Consider the following 19,507-nt stretch of genomic DNA (forward strand, 5'->3'; position numbering starts at 1 on the left):
GAAATCTCTGCCCCTGTGGAGTGTCCAGTCTAATGAAAAAAACAGCAAGTTAAGAAGCAAATGCATAATATAGTGTTAGGTTGTGATAAGGGCTATGTGGAAAAAATAAAGTGTGGTTGAATATAGAATGACACAATGTGTGTGTGTAGAGAGTATTGTTGGAGAGAAGGCTCAGAAGTGAAAGAAATGATGAAAGAACCACACCAATATCTGATGCAAGAGGGAATAGCCAATCAGAAGCCTTAAGGCTGCAAGAGCTGGGAGGTTTAATAAACAGCAAGAAAAATAGTGCCAAAGTGATATAGAGTGGCAGAGGGAAAAGTAGTAAGTAACAGATACAAAAGATAAGCAGGGCCTAGATTCCCTGTGGCCTGGGAGATAATGGTGAAGACTTATGGATTTGTTTCATGTGGTGAAAATCTGTTGTAGAATTTGAGCAGGAAATGATGTGATCTGATCTACGTTTTTGAAAGAATCATTCTGGCTCCTGTTTGGAAAATAGCTGGGATTGGGTTGGAAAAAAAAAAAGTAATGGAAATAGAGGGAACAATCAGAAATGACTGCTGTAATTTAGAAGAGAGATAACGGAAACATGGCCTCGGGTAGTATCTACAAAAAAGGTGAGAACTCGATTTAGGATGTGTTGTGAAGGTAAAGTTGACAGGCTTTGCCAATAGAATGGATTTGGAGTGTGTAAAACATAGGGAATCCAGGCTGATTTTTAAATTGAGGGCCAGAGCCACTGGATAGTTAGAGATGATATTTCCACTAAGACTGGAAGTGAGGGGGAGCATCATATTTGGGGCAGGGAGGAATCAAAGTTTCTGTTTTGAGTGGTTAAATTCAGAATGCTTCTCAGATATCCCAGAGGAGGTGTTAATTTGGCAGTCAAGTATCTGAATCTGGACACAGAGGGGAGGTCAAGGCTGGATGTGTTAGTTTAGAAATAACCAGCATTTGGGTAAGATTAAAACCTATGATATAGGATAAAATTATCTAGAGAGAGCATTTACTCAGAGAACTCTCAATATTCAGGAACACAAGCCTATCCAGACTGGCTCAGGATAAATAAAGTTTTATGTAGAAGACAAATAGTTGCCCATGTAGAACCAAAGAAAAGGCGCAAATAAATACAAGCCCATCATCTCTCTTGGTTACATAGAATACATGAGGCAGTAAAGGATAAGGATTAAACTTTCAAGATGTGAATGTCTTGAATTCAGATGTCAAACAGAAATGAATTTGAATCTGTTTCCCACCAGCCAAATGAGTGTTTGATGAAGATGACCATGATGATGATAATGACTTACATTTCTTAATGTTTCCCGTATGTATGTAGGACTTTTAAACTTGTTCCAGTACAGGTAGGGAAAGAAAATTCACATTAGTTTATTCACACACATATAGAGAGAGTTGGGGTATCTGCGTGCTGCCCAGGCTGGGCATTTGAGCCCATTCCTGGGCTCAAATAATCCTCCTGCCTAGGTCTCCCAAAGTGCTGGGATTACAGGCATGATCCACTGTGCCCTGCCCTAAATATATTTTATATATAGCAGGTAATAAAACAAGAACATGAGGATTACAATTTTTAATCACAGAGGGAAAGATTTTGTGAGAATAACATAATTTCATATTCAAACAGCAAGTCTTTAGCTAATTCTTTGATTAAAGTATTGACAAAACCATTTTGAAAAATGTTTCTGAGGCACTTTTACCTGTGAAGTTTTGAAAGATCTACACTTTTTTTTTTTTAATGTTTTTTTTTTTTATTATACTCTTAAGTTTTAGGGAACATGTGCACATTGTGCAGGTTAGTTACATATGTATACATGTGCCATGCTGGTGCGCTGCACCCACTAACATGTCATCTAGCATTAGGTATATCTCCCAATGCTATCCCTCCCCCCTCCCCCGACCCCACCACAGTCCCCAGAGTGTGATATTCCCCTTCCTGTGTCCATGTGATCTCATTGTTCAATTCCCACCTATGAGTGAGAATATGCGGTGTTTGGTTTTTTGTTCTTGCGATAGTTTACTGAGAATGATGGTTTCCAATTTCATCCATGTCCCTACAAAGGACATGAACTCATCATCATTTTTTATGGCTGCATAGTATTCCATGGTGTATATGTGCCACATTTTCTTAATCCAGTCTATCATTGTTGGACATTTGGGTTGGTTCCAAGTCTTTGCTATTGTGAATAGTGCCACAATAAACATACGTGTGCATGTGTCTTTATAGCAGCATGATTTATAGTCCTTTGGGTATATACCCAGTAATGGGATGGCTGGGTCAAATGGTATTTCTAGTTCTAGATCCCTGAGGAAAAAAAAAAAAAAAAAAAAAAAAAAAAAGAGAATAGGCACAGAAGTGAATTTGCCTTGTAAACTTGACTTCTGAGCTGCATAAATATTTTACGTAATTACAAAACAAAAAATAAAAAAGCAATTTTTACAAATCTTGTGTGTTCAGTTAGGAGCACACCTTCACAGAGAGGAACTCTTCCCAATGGCTTTAAGGCACAATTGTTGTTGTTTTTAAAAATATCTTAAATAAATTTTTATTTTTATAGATTTAGAGGGTACAAGTGCAGGATTGTTACATGGATAAATTGTGTGGTAGTGAAATCTGGGGCTTTTAGAAGACACAGTAATTTGACTCTCCATCCCTAGTGCACAAAAAAGAATTAAACAATTTCCAGTATTCAGGATCCAAATGAAGTTCATACAGTGATTGTTTGAAATAACTTTTAAGTCTCTTATAATCCATATTTCCACATTTCTTTCTTTCTTTTTTTAATTTATACATTTTTCTGCTTATTGAAGAAAACTAGTTATCCTGTAGTTTTTCCTACAGTCTGAATTTTGCTGTTGCATCACCATAATATAGAAATAAAAATGATGTATGATATTTATGAGCTAATTGGAAATGTGAACATAGACTGGTTATTTAATGATATTAAGAAATTATTGTTTATTTTGTCAGGTGAGACTATACTGTGGTCTTATTAAAATGAGATATATACTGAAGAAAAAAAAAAAAAAAAGAAAGATCTACACTTGGTAAATTTAGCATCTTTTAATTTTTCTTCCCCTACAGTAATTACAAAATTCTGGAGGGGGAAAAATGTAATATTCTCCAGGAGTGAGAATGGAAGACAATACTTTGAGCTATACTAGACATAATCATTTTTGTACATGCACTTTCAGAAGAGGTCCCATGCTGTGGACTGAACTTGAAACGAAATACAGTAATTGTCTCTGGCATTAAATACCCATAGGCATATTTTTACAAGAACATACATTAGTATATGCCTGCTAGATACATAACAATGTGTGAGTATATTTTAAGAGAATCTTAATGTGACTAACAAATAGCAATCAAATTGTTCACAATTTCAGGCTCAAAATTGAAAAGAAGAGGAATTTTTTTTACTAAAAAATTATATACACAGAAAGAGTGATTCAAAGTTGAGCATTAATGCAAATTAGGATGAAATACGAGAAGTAATCCTTGCCAACCATCTGCCTAGCTTCTCCCCACTTCTACCCTTCCCTAGCAGGGGTGAGCTATTTTACCTCCTGGGGAGATGGGAAATGACAGAGAGTGAGAGGCTAATCAGAAGTTTCAAGCACCCCCTTCTCTAAAAGCAGGAGGCTGTTGGTGAGTACTGGAATTTTGTTTTTCTAATTTGGTCTTGAGGTTTCTCTCTGGAAAATGGCTGTGAATTCTAACCCTGCACTGAAAGGGCTCCAGTATTTGGGTCATGGATGTCTACAGTGACTTCTTTATCCTAGTGGATGGCCTAATGCCTAAGTGTTGCCTAGTGCCTAAGCGTCCAACCCATGACCAGGTGTCCCACTCACAGGAAACATGCTTATACCAGCAGGCACCCTCGTGGCTCTTGTCTGACCTATGTCCAGTTTATTTCTACCAAGATATCCATTGTCTAGGAGAGCTTTCCCTTGGAAAGAAACTAGGTTCAGGTGTGTCAGTCAGGTGAGATGCAGAGGAGGCGATGCAACAAAAACCACACAATAATAGGAGGAGTTTATTACTTACAGATTAGAGAAAAGGGCAGCACTCCTTGCAGAGCTGATGGGAAAGCAGAGCCATTCCAGATATACATGCTCTACCAGAACCACAAAGTGCAGAGCAAAAGAGAGAGTGAGGGACCTGTGTGCTAAAGCTTTTATTGGAGTCCAGGGTATTATTAGGTGGGTTTCCATGGGAGTTCTAATTTGCGAGTTTAAAGCAAGCTGTTCCAAGTCCTATGTGGCCACGCTGTTACTGAGAGGTTGTCGCTGCAGCATATCTGTACAGTCTATGGGGGATGGAGGAGTCAGTGGGGTAAGCCAATAGGTGGTACCTAACTGTCCCTTAGGGAAGGTGGTCAACAGCAGACAATTGTATAAGGGAGATATCTGGATTGACCATATTAAGGAACTGGGATGAAACAGAGAACTGGAAATTGTGCCAAGGGTGACTAAACCATGTTTCTTGTATGAGAAAGTCCAACTTATATTCAAAATGAATGCCAAGGCAATATAAAATTACAGGAATTCACTACCATGCACCCCCATGCTCCTGAATTTTCAAGTCCAGACTCCCTATATGTAGCTGATAATATGGGTGCCAAGTAATCTGGAAATTCCTGGAATTTCTGCTGCTAATTGGAAATCCCAGCCCATTTCTTTCAAGGTAATCTGTCTTTGGGTCCAAAGTCAGCATTTTATGACACTTAGGTGCTCTCATCAAAGGTGTGTGTATGAAATGGCTTAAGGAAAAAATAGACACAGAACAGCTTGCCTTTGCCCTGTAGAGCTCTCAGGTAGGTTCAACCCATCCTGGGAATTGGAGTGATTTCAGATACTCTGAATGCCTTTGGTTCCCAAACTGCCATGGGCTTGCTGGTGGAACAAAAACAGACCTTGATACCCTTACTATGAATTATATATATGATTGGCTAACTGAAAGCAAAACCATAATGGAACATGACTGCAGACACGTATATATTCTCCAGGGGTTCCATGTTTTGTTGGGGAAAACATATCTCACCAGGTGAATGGCCTCAATGGCTGAAGGCAGCATGAACCCTAAACTCTTAGATACTTGGATAATTCATTGGGAACAACAACAGACAGAGTTGAAGCTAGTCTTTAAGAATATTCCCTACAAGCCAGCACAGGCAAAAATCTTTCAGGTATAAAATTCTCTTCTTTCTTACTGTAGTGTATCTTTGGCAACATGGGTATACAGACTATGGAAAGCTTAAGAATGTAAGTTACATTTTAGTAGCTCTGTTGGTGGAATATATATGTGTCCAAAGAGCTTTCTTAATTGGATGTGGGCTTACCCTGTTCTACTTTAGTCCAGATTCCTTGTTATTAAGCTTTTTATTGCTGCAGCATATTCTCTAAATATAATTTACTCCTGATAATAATTAATCAACATTACAGAAGAAAGCTATAAATATAAGGTGATAATATAAAATATATATTTATATGTCATATATTACATAGTAAATAAAATACATGTTAAATCAAAATAAAATAGTATTATAGGCTAAAATATATATGTACACATAAACATTTAGTGTAAATGTGCATATAAAAGGAGAAAAAAGGAAATACATTAAGATGATAATACTGTAGGTAGGTAGGGAGATTTTGGTAGTTTACTTTTTCACATATTCCAAAATATTTAATTACTATTTTATAACTTACATAAATTGTAGAATAACTTCTCTTGTTTAGTAACAGCATAGAGAGGGGTAAAACTGGCAGAAATGGATATGTTTGATCAATGTTGATCCTTCAAACTACAGTGATCCACTTCTGAGAACAGGGACTCATATTTAATGAGGGAGTAAGCCAGGTTCTTACAGAGCGTGAGATTCAGCTTCTCCTGTCATGAGATGGGGTCAGGCTCTGGGCCAGGAGAGCAATGGCCAGCTTTGGAAGCTATATCTCAGGTCACATTCAAAAGCACACATTTCCAACTCTTTTCCCAACGCTGCTTTTGTCACATTAGAATGAAATTTGCCCTCTGTGTTGAAATATTCTATAAAAAACACAATCTTGCTTAAGTTAAAATTTAAAGTTAGCTTGTCTGACAGCTGGGATGTAAAGAGACAGTGAAAGGATTCTGACTTTTGGCATTGTCAGCAGTTTCCCTTGAGAGTGGAGCCCTGTCTTTCTGCAACCTGCAGCTCTCGCTTTCCTGCTGTGACTGAGCCAGTGGGATCGTCGGCCAGGAGAGGGCGCCTCACTCAGTGAGACATAAATCCAACGCACCCTATGAGGGCACTAGGAAGGTGAAACGCAATCCTCACCTACACTTGCTCTGCTCTCTGCCGTTTCAGCATTCCACCTTAGGGCGTCAGGCTTAACTTTGCAGGTGTTAAATCTCCGTGTGTCCATGAAACACTTCAAGTACTATTTCAGCAGCTTGGAGAAATCCCAAACACAAGTCAGGAAGTTATCTCCGTCAGAGGCTTGCCGCCTCACCCCTGCATGGCTCTCAGAGAAAGCTTCCTTTCTGTAAGACACATTCCAATCATCACACTGTGGCTAAAAGGCTAAATATAGGAGAGACATTTGCCAAGATATAGCAAAGCCGATGTTGGTTTGCCTAGGCAATTTGATAAATGATGATTGTGTGCAGGTGGTGCCTAAATAGACCATAGACTACATATTAAGATAACTTATGAGGTCTGCTGGAGAGAATGGGAAAGTGGGTGTGTGTGGATGTTTGGCACAGCCTGGGGCTATGGCTATAAGAACCTGAGTCTAGGATTTGCCATAGAATATTCTGTGAGCAAAAAAGACACCTACTTCTCAGTTATAATCCTCATAAGAATTTTTATAATATTTTTTAAGCTGTGCAATCCACAGCTGTGTAACTGAGAAAAATCACTTAACCTGTCTGAACCTAGGTTTCCTCAAATATATTCAGTCTGCACTCCCAGGACCTCACTTTAAGAGAAACCTGAATCTCTTGAGCACGAGCATGTGGATGGGTGTTATTCCCTTCCTGCACACCTTCTGTGCTTCAAAGAGAGAACTTATGTAACCTTTTTCCTCATGTATCCCTGCTTTGAAACCTGTAAATTTCTATCTTTCTCTGCCCCTTTCTGACTTCTTTTATTATTATTTTCAACCTCATCGATTTCTTCAAATTACTTTCCATCCACTAAATATTTCTAATGAGCCCTGTACATTTTTCTGTACCACTGTGGAAAAAAAGTAAAATAATTTCTGTCTTAACAAAGGATTGCCGCACCCATCTGGCATTAAAAGGAAGAAGAAAAAGCGGGACACATTAAAAACAATAAGCGTTGATTTCTCTGGCTGTACCTACAGACCTGTTACTGTGAGGCCTTTAATCCATCTTCACCGCCGCTTTCTTCCCTTGCTTTGTCTTTTAAAGTTTCAGGGGACTGTCACAAACAGGGTCTTACTCAGGGCCTCCTGCTGCTGCTCTGTGGCCTTGTTGAGCCCGTGGGGCTGGTTCCTGTGGCTCCTCCTGGCCAGTTGTCCACCGCAGGTGCCATGGATCCAAGAATTACCTCTGCTGGGCACCTCCCTCCCACACAATGGCACCCTGCTTCCAGGACATGCTGAGTCCTATCTCAAGGCATTCTTGGTCTTCCCTCAATGTTGCAGAGTAATATTATTTTATCTAGAACATTCCTGTGTTGAAGCTCAGTAAATGTCAGCACAAGTAGGCAAAAGTGTATTGCTTTGGGTGGTAAACTTTCTCCATGCTCTCCCCGGACCCCTTCTTATCCACTTTACCAGCCATGTGAATGCATCCTATAGCTTCTCTGTGCTTTGTTCCAAATGGCCTGCCCCTGTGACCTTCTTCAGAGGCTGACCATGGGCCAGTCCCTCCCTCCCAGAGAGAGCCTGGAATGCCTGGTAGTGTAGTTCTAGGGAAGCCTATAGCCAATGACTGTGCAAGATTCTGAAAGCCTGACTCCCTTTCCTCAAAATGGGGCAAATTCTGACATAATTTATGGTCTAGAGCTCCCCAAAGATCTGGCTAAGGCCAGGGAGTTGGCTAAAATTGTGCCTTTCTCTGTTCTTCATTTCCTTTTCTCTTGTGTTCTTCTCCTGGCCCTTAATAAATACCCTGTTCATGATCTGTGTCTCAGAGTTGGCTTCTGGAGGTCCAGCCTTAGGTATTTGGTTAGGAGTGCAAGGATGATTTTTGGAGGCAGATTCTGAGGATGGGATTCTAGAGTTAAGTCACCAGCTAAGTGGCAATAAATACCCCATCACAGGGGGTATGTGGAGCCCAGAGGGGCCCTGACACACTAGAGCATTGCAGTTGCTAAAACTTTTACCTGGAGCGAATTAAGATGATGTCATGGGTTGAATTATGTAACCTCAAAAGATGTTGAATTTCACCCCCAGTACCTGGGAATGTGATATTACTGGGAAATAAGATATTTGCAGATAATCCAACTAGAATGAGATCATTAGGGTGGGCCCTAATTCAATATCACTGTTGACCTCACAAAAAAAGTGAAATTTGAACATGGAGACATACATGCTTAGAGGAAAGATGGTGTGAAGACACAGGGCATCCACAAGAACAATTTGAGGCCAACAGGGAGGTCATGGAACAGATTCTTCCCTACGGTTCTCAGAACCAACCTTGCCGACACCTTGATTTTGGACTTCTAGTCTCCAGAACTGTGAGATAATAAATTCCTCATGTTCTATGCCACCCAATTTATTGTATTTTGTTATAGAAGCCCTAGGAAACTAATACAGAAGGGATTCTGACAGAACAGGTATGCTAGATTGTGCAATTTTCTTTGGCTTTTGATGGTACAAGGTAAATGGTCATTACAAAGGCTGTGGATGGGTTCCATGATAAATAGACTCCAGTTGGTCAGCATAAGGCAAAGTGAGAAAGTCAAAAAGTCCCTTGGCAGCTCTTAAACAAACCCCCTTTTTCTATAGCCAAGGGAGACCATGCTGAAGACCAGGCCAGGACCAACTATAAGAACAGTGGACCTTTGGTGGCTCAGGCCTGTAATCCCGGCACTTTGGGAGGCCGAGGCAGATGGATCACCTGAGGTCGGGAGTTCAAGACCAGCCTGAGCAACATGGAGAAACCCCATCTCTACTAAAAATACAAAATTAGCCAGGCATGGTGGCATATGCCTGTAATCCTAGTTACTCAGGAGGCTGAGGCAGGAGAATCACTTGAACCCAGGAGGCAGAGGTTGCAGAGAGCTGAGATCACGCCATTGCACTCCAGCCTGGGCAACAAGAGCAAGACTCCATCTCAAAACAAAACAAAACAAAAACAAAACAGTGGACCTTCAGGGACACCCAGTTTACATCCTCAGCAATCCCATGCAACAGCCAGGAACTTGGTAAGGAAGAAATGGCTTCTTAAGACTTGGAATCAGAAAATGTGAATAGATGTCATTGATAAATGTGAAACTGCAGCTGTCCCTGAATCCTCTGGGCCTGCAGAATGGGCCCACATCTTCTTTCTAGAGGGCAGAGCTCTCTTGCTTGAAGATTGGAAGCAAGTGTACAAATGTAAGCAGAGAAGCCTAACAAGAGATTAATTTTATGGCTTATATCTTTATTAGAACTTAAATCCAATATGTTTATTAGACCTTACAGTTCTGTCTGAGAGAAAAGAGGGATATGTTAAAGTCCTCACTCCACAAGATTTGTAACCATAGGCATAAAACCTTTAAAGGATATACTTTATGGCAGTGCATTCCAAATTTACACGTAAAACAGATTTCTGCTATTGCATTTCAAATTCAGACATAAAACAGATTTCCAACTTCTTTCACCTGTTGGGCTGGTCCCATGTCATATACTCAATGTGCAGTACTCACTTCTTTGAGCCTCAGTAACATGTGAGTAGAAATGGGATCATTGTAATAAATCTACTTGCATCAACATATGTTCCTTGTCTCATAACAGCCATTTATCCCCAACCTTAATTAAATATTTCTGAGGGGTAACTAAAGAATACTGGATTGCTGTTGGTTTCAGATGAAATCTGTGCAGAGTCTGTGCCATGAAGGGCTCTGCCTATATTTTGGTTACAAAAGTTATCTTATTTTGGCAGGGTGCAATGGCTCATACTTATAATCCCAGCACTTTGGGAGGCAGAGGTAGGAGAACTGCTTGAGCCCAAGAGTTTGAGACCAGCCTAGGAAACATAGAGAGATCCCATTTCTACAAAAAAAAATTAATTAAAAAAATTTTATAAATTTGTAAAGCTCTTTGTGCATATATTGCCTGATGTCATATTCTCCTCAAGCAGCCCCTGAGATGAGGAGTCATGTGGGAGTAATTTATTAACAAGGTGATCTCAAAGGAAGACAGGGAAGGAGAAGGGAAAGAAGGATATGGAAAAGAGAGAACCCAAGAAAGTGTGTGATTTTGTCAAAGTCCAGCTTCAGCCTCATCCAACTTGAGGCCAGGGAGTCAGATTGTCAGACACTTGGACCAGTCAGTCATTGCCTAAGAACTGCACAGAGGGTTAAAGCTCCCCTCTCCCAGCTCCATGCAGAGATCCTTAAAGACAGTCCCAGTTGCGGCCGGGTCTGGTGGCTCATGCCTGTTATCCCAGCACTTTGGAAGGCTGAGGCAGGCGGATCAAGAGGTCAGGAGTTCGAGACCAGCCTGGCCAATATAGTGAAACCTCATCTCCACTAAAAATACAAAAATTAGCCAGGTTTGGTGGCAGGTGCCTGTAATCCCAGCTACTCAGGAGGCTGAAGCAGGAGGATTGCTTGAACCCAGGAGGCAGAGGTTGCAGTAAGCTGAGATCATGCCACTGCATTCCAGCCTGGGTTACAGAGGAAGACTCAGTCTCAAAAAAAAAAAAAGTCTCAGTTGCAGGCCTTCGGAAGCAAAGCACAAAGCAGTTGGAAGAGGCTTACAGAAAGAGCAAAAGAATGTGGGGTATCTGTGTGTGCTGTCAACAGTGCTATTACTGTGAATGAATATCTGTGTCCCCCCAAAATTCATATATTGAAGCCTAACCCCCAAGTTGATGATATTTGGAGTTGGGGCCTTGGGGAGGTGATTAGGTCATGAGTGTGGAGCCCTCATAGGTGTGATTCCTGCCCTTATAAGAAAAGATGATCTCTCTCTCCGCCATCTAAGGATACAAGAAGACAGCATCTGCAAACCAGGAAGGGGGTCTTCACCAGTCACAGTCTGCTGACACCCTGACCCTGGACTATCCTAGGCTCCAGAACTCCAGAAATCAATCTCTGTTGTTTAAATCGCTCAGTCTATGATATCTTGTTATAGCAGCCCAAACTGACTAACACAATTATACATGTCAAAATCCTTTCTAATCTGTGGATCTGGGCTTTGCAACTTTGCATGTCTCACAGCCAGCAGAGGATTCTATTATTAATGGTAATCCATGTCAAATTTAATACTATAAGAATTTTTCATAAAATCAATTTGTTTTTAACCTTTTGGCTATCAAACTAGTTGTAATTTGAAATCCAAGACAATTAAATCTTTGTAAAATGTGGGTCTTTTTGTAAGATGACTTTAACCACAGAGAAAATGTAAAATTTTAGGAAGGGTAAGACATGTAGTTAGCACTGAGATTACTATGTGAGGCCTAATGTTATCTATGTGTAAGGCAATCATCAGTGTTACATTTCATTAGAAAGATGGCTTTTAAAAAACAACTAGCGCCAAGGTGGGCAGATCACCTGAGGTCAGGAGTTCAAGACCGGCTTGCCCAACATGGTGAAACCCCATCTCTATTAAAAATACAAAAAAATTAGCTGGGTGTGGTGGCAGATGCCTGTAATCCCAGCTACTTGGGAGGCTGAGGCAGGAGACTCGCTTGAACCCAGAAGGCAGAGGTTGCAGTGAGCCGAGATTGCTCGACTGTACTCCAGCCTGGGTGACAAGAGTGAAACTCTGTTAAAAAACAAAAAAAAGAAAAAAGAAAACTAGCCAGCTTCACAATGGAGGCAGTTCCATAATTTGTTGGGATTTTGGAATGGCAGTGAGCTACATATCTTTTCTTTCATGTTCTAACATATAGAAAACAAACTAAGTCTTTGTATATTAGCTAACTCAGCAGAACAGTCTGTGGGAGATTATATTGATCTTGAATACACAGTGCACATGTATTGGATATTGATGCATAATTTGGGTCTAATTTCTTCTCGTATCTAAATACTCGTAAACATTTAGAATGGTTTAAATGTACAGGCTCAGAATGACTTTAATAGGACCTTTAAAATTTATATTTATATATTTAAATAACTGCTGATGGCACTGTTGTTTATAATATTAGGTTTCTTGCTGACCTCTCAGAATTTTCCTTAGAGCCTGAGACAGGCCGACTGGTTGGTTCCCTATCTTAAGATTGTCTGAAGGAAAAGGATAAAAGCCCCTCAACTCAAACTCTAGCTTGTCTAACTCTCAGCCAATCAGCAATAAAAGACCAAGGAAGCTATTAATTGCAAATTTCTATTTCAGGGGGCTAGAGGCTTTCCCAGAGTCCCATATGTGGAGTCAGACTTAAACTCCAACCTAAAGTTATCTTTTCCTCATTTCAACACTAAAGTTCATGCCCAGGGGTGGAGATTTAAAATTCTAATGCTACATGCAATGTATGAAGAAACATGTTGAGCCATTGTGCAGGTGCTAGCAAAACTCTCCCTATACATTCCCTGAGGGAATCCTTCCCTATGGAAAGACCCTATACCTAACCGAACCACACAGTATCTTTGGGGAACAGCCCACTCCTTTTTGCTCTCTCATGGCTGGCTCCCTGAGAGGTAATAAACTCTCTTCATTGCTGCCTCTGGTGATCTCTCTTGATTTCTATCCTGAGAAATCACAAGATCTCAGGGCACTGGTAAGAAGCTTGTCACAGATTCTTTGAATTTCCTCAATGGTTCTGAAACAGGAGTGTTCCCTTGACCCCTTTGCAGGACTTGTGACATGAGTGACTTGTTTACTTGTTTACCATGCTGAATCCCTTATGGAAGGAAGCACATGAGTGGATGGGTGTGGGAACCAGAGCAAATGAATGTGGAACTGGCCTGTGGCTCCTCTCCGGCGGGAGCAAGCTTTGTGTGGGTTCTGCAGCAGTGTCAAAGTGTGTTACAATAGTCTTTTAGCTCTGCGGTCTGGGAGGGGCTGTCTGCGACCCCCAGAGCCCCAGAGGGCATGTGTTACAATCAGTGCTCCTTTAACATTTGCTGTCTGTGGATGGCTAAGTGTTAACCAGCTCAGTGGAAGGTCAGGGTGACAGCCTTTTACACTTTGCTGTCTTGGTACCTGAGTTCTGATCCAGCGTCCAGGAAGAATCAGGTCACATGAACAAATTGAAGGTGGTGAATGTGGAGGACTTTATTGAGTGGTAAAAGTGGGCCTCAGTGGGAAAGGGAGCTGGAAAGGGGATGGAGTGGGAAGATAATCTTCCCCTGGAGCCCGGGTGTCTCCAGCTGAACTCCTCTCTGACCATAGTTCCTGACCTCCAGCTGCTTCTTCTCATCTCAATATCCAGACACTTCTCTCTTCTGTGTGTGTGTCCACTGAGTCTGGGGCTTGGGGTTCTTATGGGCACAGGATAGGGGGTGGTGTGGGGTGGGCCAAAAGGCAACAATCAGGTGGGAAAACAGGGATAGTTCTCACTTTGGGCTGAGGGTCCAAGCTTGTGGGTGGAGCCCTTGCCAAAGATCCTGCCCTTTTCTACCAGTATTTGCCTGCCTTCTGTCCATTTCAGTTCAAGACAGTTTGTGCAATTTGGAAACAGCCAGATCTAAACAGTGTAAAATCTGGATAGTCAGGCAGAATAAGGCTGGAAAAAATATATAATTATATAGAATAAAGCTGAAAAAATTCGCTGAGTAATACTCTGTGTGTGCACCTACATGCACATGTAACAAAGTGATAATTTCTATTTCCTTAGATGTTTCAAAATGTATCTTGAACATATGACAAATATTTAATGTTTTCTGGGTGACTACATTGAAGCCCACCACTCACTTGGGACAGAAAAGTCATTTTTTGGTGTGTGATTATACTTGCTATCTTATGGTCACAACTTTTAATACTACATAGAAGCATTAATATTTTTATTTTTCCTTTAGATCCTTCACTGAATTCAACCCAGTCTACTCAACAGTTCACCAAGAGTCTTGCTATCTCCAATTTCAGGATATGCTTTCCATCACCAATACCCAGGTTAATGGACACTCCTCAACCCTTTGTCAGTCCCTGCCCAGTGTTGCCTTTGAGACTGAACTCTGGACAGCCTTTCCATGTTCTCTTTTCTGTAAAAAGGAGACTTTTTATTTCTGGCAGCACTTGCCTAGGAGATAGCAAAGTTAAATGTTGTGTTTCATCACAATCAGTCTCAACTAACTAAAACTAATTAAACACTAGGGATTTTGAGTAACCCACCTACCCTCACTAGACCCTTTCTTTATCTAACTGAAGATGTTCATGATCAAGAAGCAAGAGGCTGTCTCACAGATCTCAGCCTTGTATGAAAGGTAGTTCTCAGTGCTTAATTAGCACCAGCAGCATGGCCCTACACTTCATAGCATTTAAAACCTTCAGTTTTGCCCTTAAGTCCACCTATGCAGTTGTCCCCTAATAAGCTCAGCTCAGCTCCAGGCCACCCCTGGCTCTGTGGCCCATGGTTTTTGTATTATTCTTTGTCATCTCTAATTAGCCTCTTCTGCCTCACCACTACTTAATTATTTATCCTTCTCAGAACTTCTGGCGTGTATTGTACTATATTTTACTTTTAAAATATGTTGCCAGTGTTCTCAGTTTGTCATTTATATGACATGTTCCATGACAAAGTACATCCCTAATACAAAGCCTTAAGCAATCTCATTAAGGACAGATTGCTGATATCTAATTTCTTTTCCCATTCCTAGAGGCAGTGGTCTTCAAAGTGTGGCCTCCAGACAGCAATATCAATATCATCTGGGAATTTGCTAGAAATGTAAATTCCCAAGTCCCAGCTCAAACTCAATGAATCAGAAACTCTGGGTGTGGGGCCCAGCAGTCCTTCAGGTGTTTCTAACCACATATTCAAATTTGACAATCATTTACTCAGGGTCTCACCCTTGGTAGTATCTTAATAAATGCCTGTTAGGTTGACTCTGATAAGTCTTTCTCTCAAGCCATCTTAAAAAGCATGGAATCCAAAAATTCCAGGAAGAAATGAGAAAAAATGTTACAAAGAATGAAGTAGGGATTTTAGGTTTATGAGCAATTAGAGGGAACCGAGTCTTCACAAAGAAACACAATATCCTGATTTCCTGTCTCATGCTTGATTTTCCTACATTGTCTCACCTCAGCTGCGTGATTCCATGTATCTCACTAACCCTTCTGTTTGCCTTCTGTAAGGTTACATGTAGATTCTGAGAAAATTCTTTTTCAACTTTCTATCTCTTATTCCCATTTCACTCTATGTCTTCACAGAAAATTATCACTGCAAAGCTGAGCGGTTTCTGGAGAATCTTGGCTCATTCACTGAATTCTTTGGGAAGGGCTGCTTCCCTTTGCACATCTTCACTAAACTTGGACCTTTTTGATGACTCTCATTTTTTATCACCACCATAGTCCTTAGATGTCCAGTGGAGCAGGGAAACTGATGGTTTTCTGCACAGGTTGCTCGGGGCAAAGATGGAAGTTGGAAGTAAGGAAAAGCATGGAGTTGGAATTGTATGCTGAATGCTGAAGCAAAAGAGTACTCAACGTCTCTATGGTTTTGCTTTGTGCTGGGCCTTCCTAAACCTTGTGAACACCTGGTAAATGTTCATTTGATTATGTCAAGCTCTTTGGAGCAGTAGCTTTCAACCCTGATTAGGATGTCAGAATCCTTTGGAAGAATTTTTTAAAAATCTATGGGCATGGAACCCATCCATCAGTATTTTTAAAAATTTCCCAGGTGGTTTCCATGAGTAGCTAAGGTTGAGAACCGTGGTTTTGGATTTCCCACTTGATGATTTTAAACCATAACATCACTTTGCCTATTTTTCTAAATATTCCTCTTTCTACAGTCAGCTTTCAAAAGTCAGACTACAACTGAATCAAAGAATTATACAAGAAAGGGGAAACTGAGCCATCCTTCAGCAACTCCAGGAACAAATCAAGGTACATATAATGATGGGGTAGTAAATGCTAATACCGTCTATCTTCTTCCCTTGTATCTATCCCTGTTTTTGTTCCCCTCTTTCCACTCTGGCTTCCTATTCTCCCTTTGTGGCAAAATATCCACTATTCTTGAAGACAGCGAACCAGCAAACCTGCTAATATTAAAGCTTCAGTGACCCAATAGGTAGCTACACTTTGAGGAACATTTTCATTTCCAAAGAAATTATCTGAAGAGAAAAATGTCTAATTCAATGGGCTGAAATGCAAATTGTTATGTTTCAGGCTAGAAAGATATCTAACCCAAGGAACTTCCTTATCATGCTCTGGGAGACAGTAGGCTGCCTCATGGAAGGCCGTTATAGATGTCCAACTAAACATTGCAAAAAATAGAAGCATTGGCTTGGGACTGAGAAATGATATTCATTTGGTGCAAAAGTAATTGCGATTTTTGCCCTTGAAAATGATGGTTAAAACTGCAATGACTTTTGCATCAACCTATGGATTAGTAATTGATACACAAAGACATGACACATGAGAATACCAAGTGCACTGCTTGGCACATAGTAGACATTCAACAAATGCTTCTTGCTGACAACTTTTGCTTTCCTCCTCAATCACCCACTTTTTAGAATCCTTGAAAAAATCTTACAAATTTTTCAAATATTCAGGAAACTTAAATAACATCAGATTTAGAGAAGAATTATTGACTGTAGCCAATTTTTGGACCTATACATTTTTTAAACTATGTGATGGGAATCTCTTCATTTTTTAGAGCAAAATGGATGCATATCAATTACAAACCTTGCTAAATCATCCTTTCTATCTCTGAGGCAATAAAATTCATTATCCTGGTTAGTTTGAGGATATACTTAACCCATAAACACCAACAGCAAGTATAGATTCAGACATTTGTATCTATAATTTAGACAGTTTAAAATGCAATATTAAGTAATTCAAAAATTGTTCAAAGCTCAGTACCTTTTCACACATTAATACTTTGATTATCAACTTCCTTTTAAAGAGTGAGTAGAAAAGGTTAGTAAGTAGAAAAGAGTAAAAGAGGCCTTTCTTTCACAACTTGCCAAGACGTGCATTACTTATTTAAAATAAAAAAAAAATGCTGTTTGAAAAACAAGAAGGATGGCAAGAATGAAGCTCCTTCATGCAAGATACCTCTGACTACCCTCTAAAGACAGTTACTATGGCATGGTCATAGAATTACTGCAGGAAAAAATTTGTCCACTGAGGCTGCTTCCTCCAGAGGTAAGGTTTAACTTATGGTAACTTGCTATGGATCAACAGCTCAAGATGAAGTGTGTGGCTGGCAATTTAAGTGTAAAATTAGATTTCCAGTATAATCAGTCATCTGATAGCCCATCTAAATGTATTCTGCATTTGCACATTTAATTAATTATGTCTTAATTGAAAACATTTTGCTCATAATGATTGGTTCTAATTTTATTCCAAATTAAATTAGTAGGGGAGAAATTTAGTTTGGGAATTTATTGATTTATATATATATTAAAGAAAAAGTAAAAATAATGGATTTTCTCTTTTCTTCTTAAAAGGAAATATCTTTCTGCTCATTTAGAGGTGCAAAGGAAAACATTTAGAACTTTCCAGATGAATAAATTGCATTTCATCTGAATGAACATCTAACTTTGGAGATGGAGAGAACATTCTTTTGTATTGTTGTAGATATGCCTAGTATAATATTGGTATAATTAATTTTTCAGCTACAATGCAGATTCCTGGGTCAGTGCAAAAGACCTTGTTTATTTAGAAGTGATTATCTGAGAAAGTGGCTCATTAGTCTTAGATTCTTGGAATGCACAGTCTGGTCTAGAGATTAAAATAGCTATTTAAATTCCCTTTATGAAAATTGTGCCTGACAGGGCACTTCCATGTGCAGTGAGGTTTGTATTTGCACATCTAGAGCATCCAGGAAATCAGCAAAGGTGGGTTTTGTGTCTTTAGATATGCTACAGTTGATAAACCCTAAGATTCAGATATTAACTATTGGATAAGCTCTTGCATTTCCCATAACTTTAGCTTTGAAGCCATTCATTACCTTAATACTAAGGAAAGAATGTCAGAAAATCCAAAGAGAGAGAATTCTCAGTTATGATTTTTGGACATATAATTGGAAAGAAGTCAGATTTGGCTTTTACAATTAGTGCCATATAATGTCACACAAAGTATTTCCTGCAGTGTGCTCAAAGAGGTCAATTTGTGATTTATTTGCAAGTCATAGTTCTGAAATTACTGACTTGTGTGTGTAACAATTTAGCTTTAACTTGGGCACTTAATTTAGCATTAAATATAGCTCCTCTTCAATATTGACCCTTGCCCTGAACAAGATGTCATTTCATAAACCCAGTTAAACATGGTGCCTACTGTGGTTTAAATACCAAGACAGATTAAATGTATTGTCCAGTTTCACAGATCAGCAATGCTTCTCTTCCTGTATCACTAGCTCATGATAATAACATAAGGGACCAGTCTGTGCCAGTGGATGGGCCAGAATTAAAAGAAGATAAATATTGATGTCCTGCCTGAAAGAAAACTGGGCACCCAAGGTGTCAGAGAGTTGTCTGATATACTGTGACATGAATGTCCCATATATATAAATTGCAGCCTTTTTAAAATAAGGTAGAATTGTTTGTGGAAGATTAAAAACTCTCTTTCTAAATTGTTGAATTAAAATATTTAGTTAAATAAATCACTGCTATTTTCATCAATGTTGGAGTTGTTTCTTCAAGTTTGTGTGTTTTCTCAATTAGAAAAAAAGTCTAATTTGTTTAAATAGTGAGAAGTCAACATTGAACTGTTGTCTACTCAATAGCCACAATTCCTTATTTCTTGTTCACAATGAATAAGAAATTTGTATTGTTGCAACAAGTTCACAGACAATGGATTCCTCTCTCAATCTGAGAGGATGAGCCATGGTTGATCTAGGCCATGAATATTGTGGTAGATTGTATTGTGTGTTCCTAATTCTTTGTTCTCTGGCCAGGTGCAGTGTCTCACGCCTGTAATCCTAGCACTTCAGGAAACTGAGGCAGGCAGATTGCCAGAGCTCAGGAGTTCGATACCGGCCTGGGCAACATGGCAAAACCCCTCTCTACTAAAAATACAAAAAATTAGCTGGGTATGCTGGTGTGCACCTGTAATCCCAGCTACTTGGGAGCCTGAGGTGTGAGAATCACTTGAACCCAGAAGGCGAAGAATGCAGTGAGCCAAGATTGTGCCACTGCACTCCAGCCTGGATGACAGAGCGAGACTCTGTCTGAGAAAAAAATAATTAAAACAGATGATTCTTGTTCCCTCCCCATCCTTACCTTTTTTTTAA

General features: G+C 39.8%; 1 long non-coding RNA gene across 2 annotated transcripts in view; it reads left to right on the top strand.

Annotated features, from left to right (window-relative positions):
- LOC112268283 (uncharacterized) overlaps positions 1 to 19,197 on the top strand; it is a 29,739-nt gene extending 10,542 nt beyond the window's left edge. The window contains exons 4-5 of one of the 2 annotated variants that reach the window (XR_007067922.1): positions 14,133 to 14,226; positions 16,062 to 19,197. This is a non-coding gene — a long non-coding RNA (uncharacterized LOC112268283). Of the gene's footprint in view, positions 1 to 14,132; positions 14,227 to 15,480 lie in introns of both variants that reach the window. The other variant, XR_007067923.1, reaches the window with a different exon arrangement.
- The last annotated feature ends 310 nt before the right edge of the window (positions 19,198 to 19,507 follow it).

The sequence above is a fragment of the Homo sapiens genome, chromosome 21 (assembly GCF_000001405.40).
Source record: "Homo sapiens chromosome 21, GRCh38.p14 Primary Assembly".
NCBI lineage: Eukaryota > Metazoa > Chordata > Mammalia > Primates > Hominidae > Homo > Homo sapiens.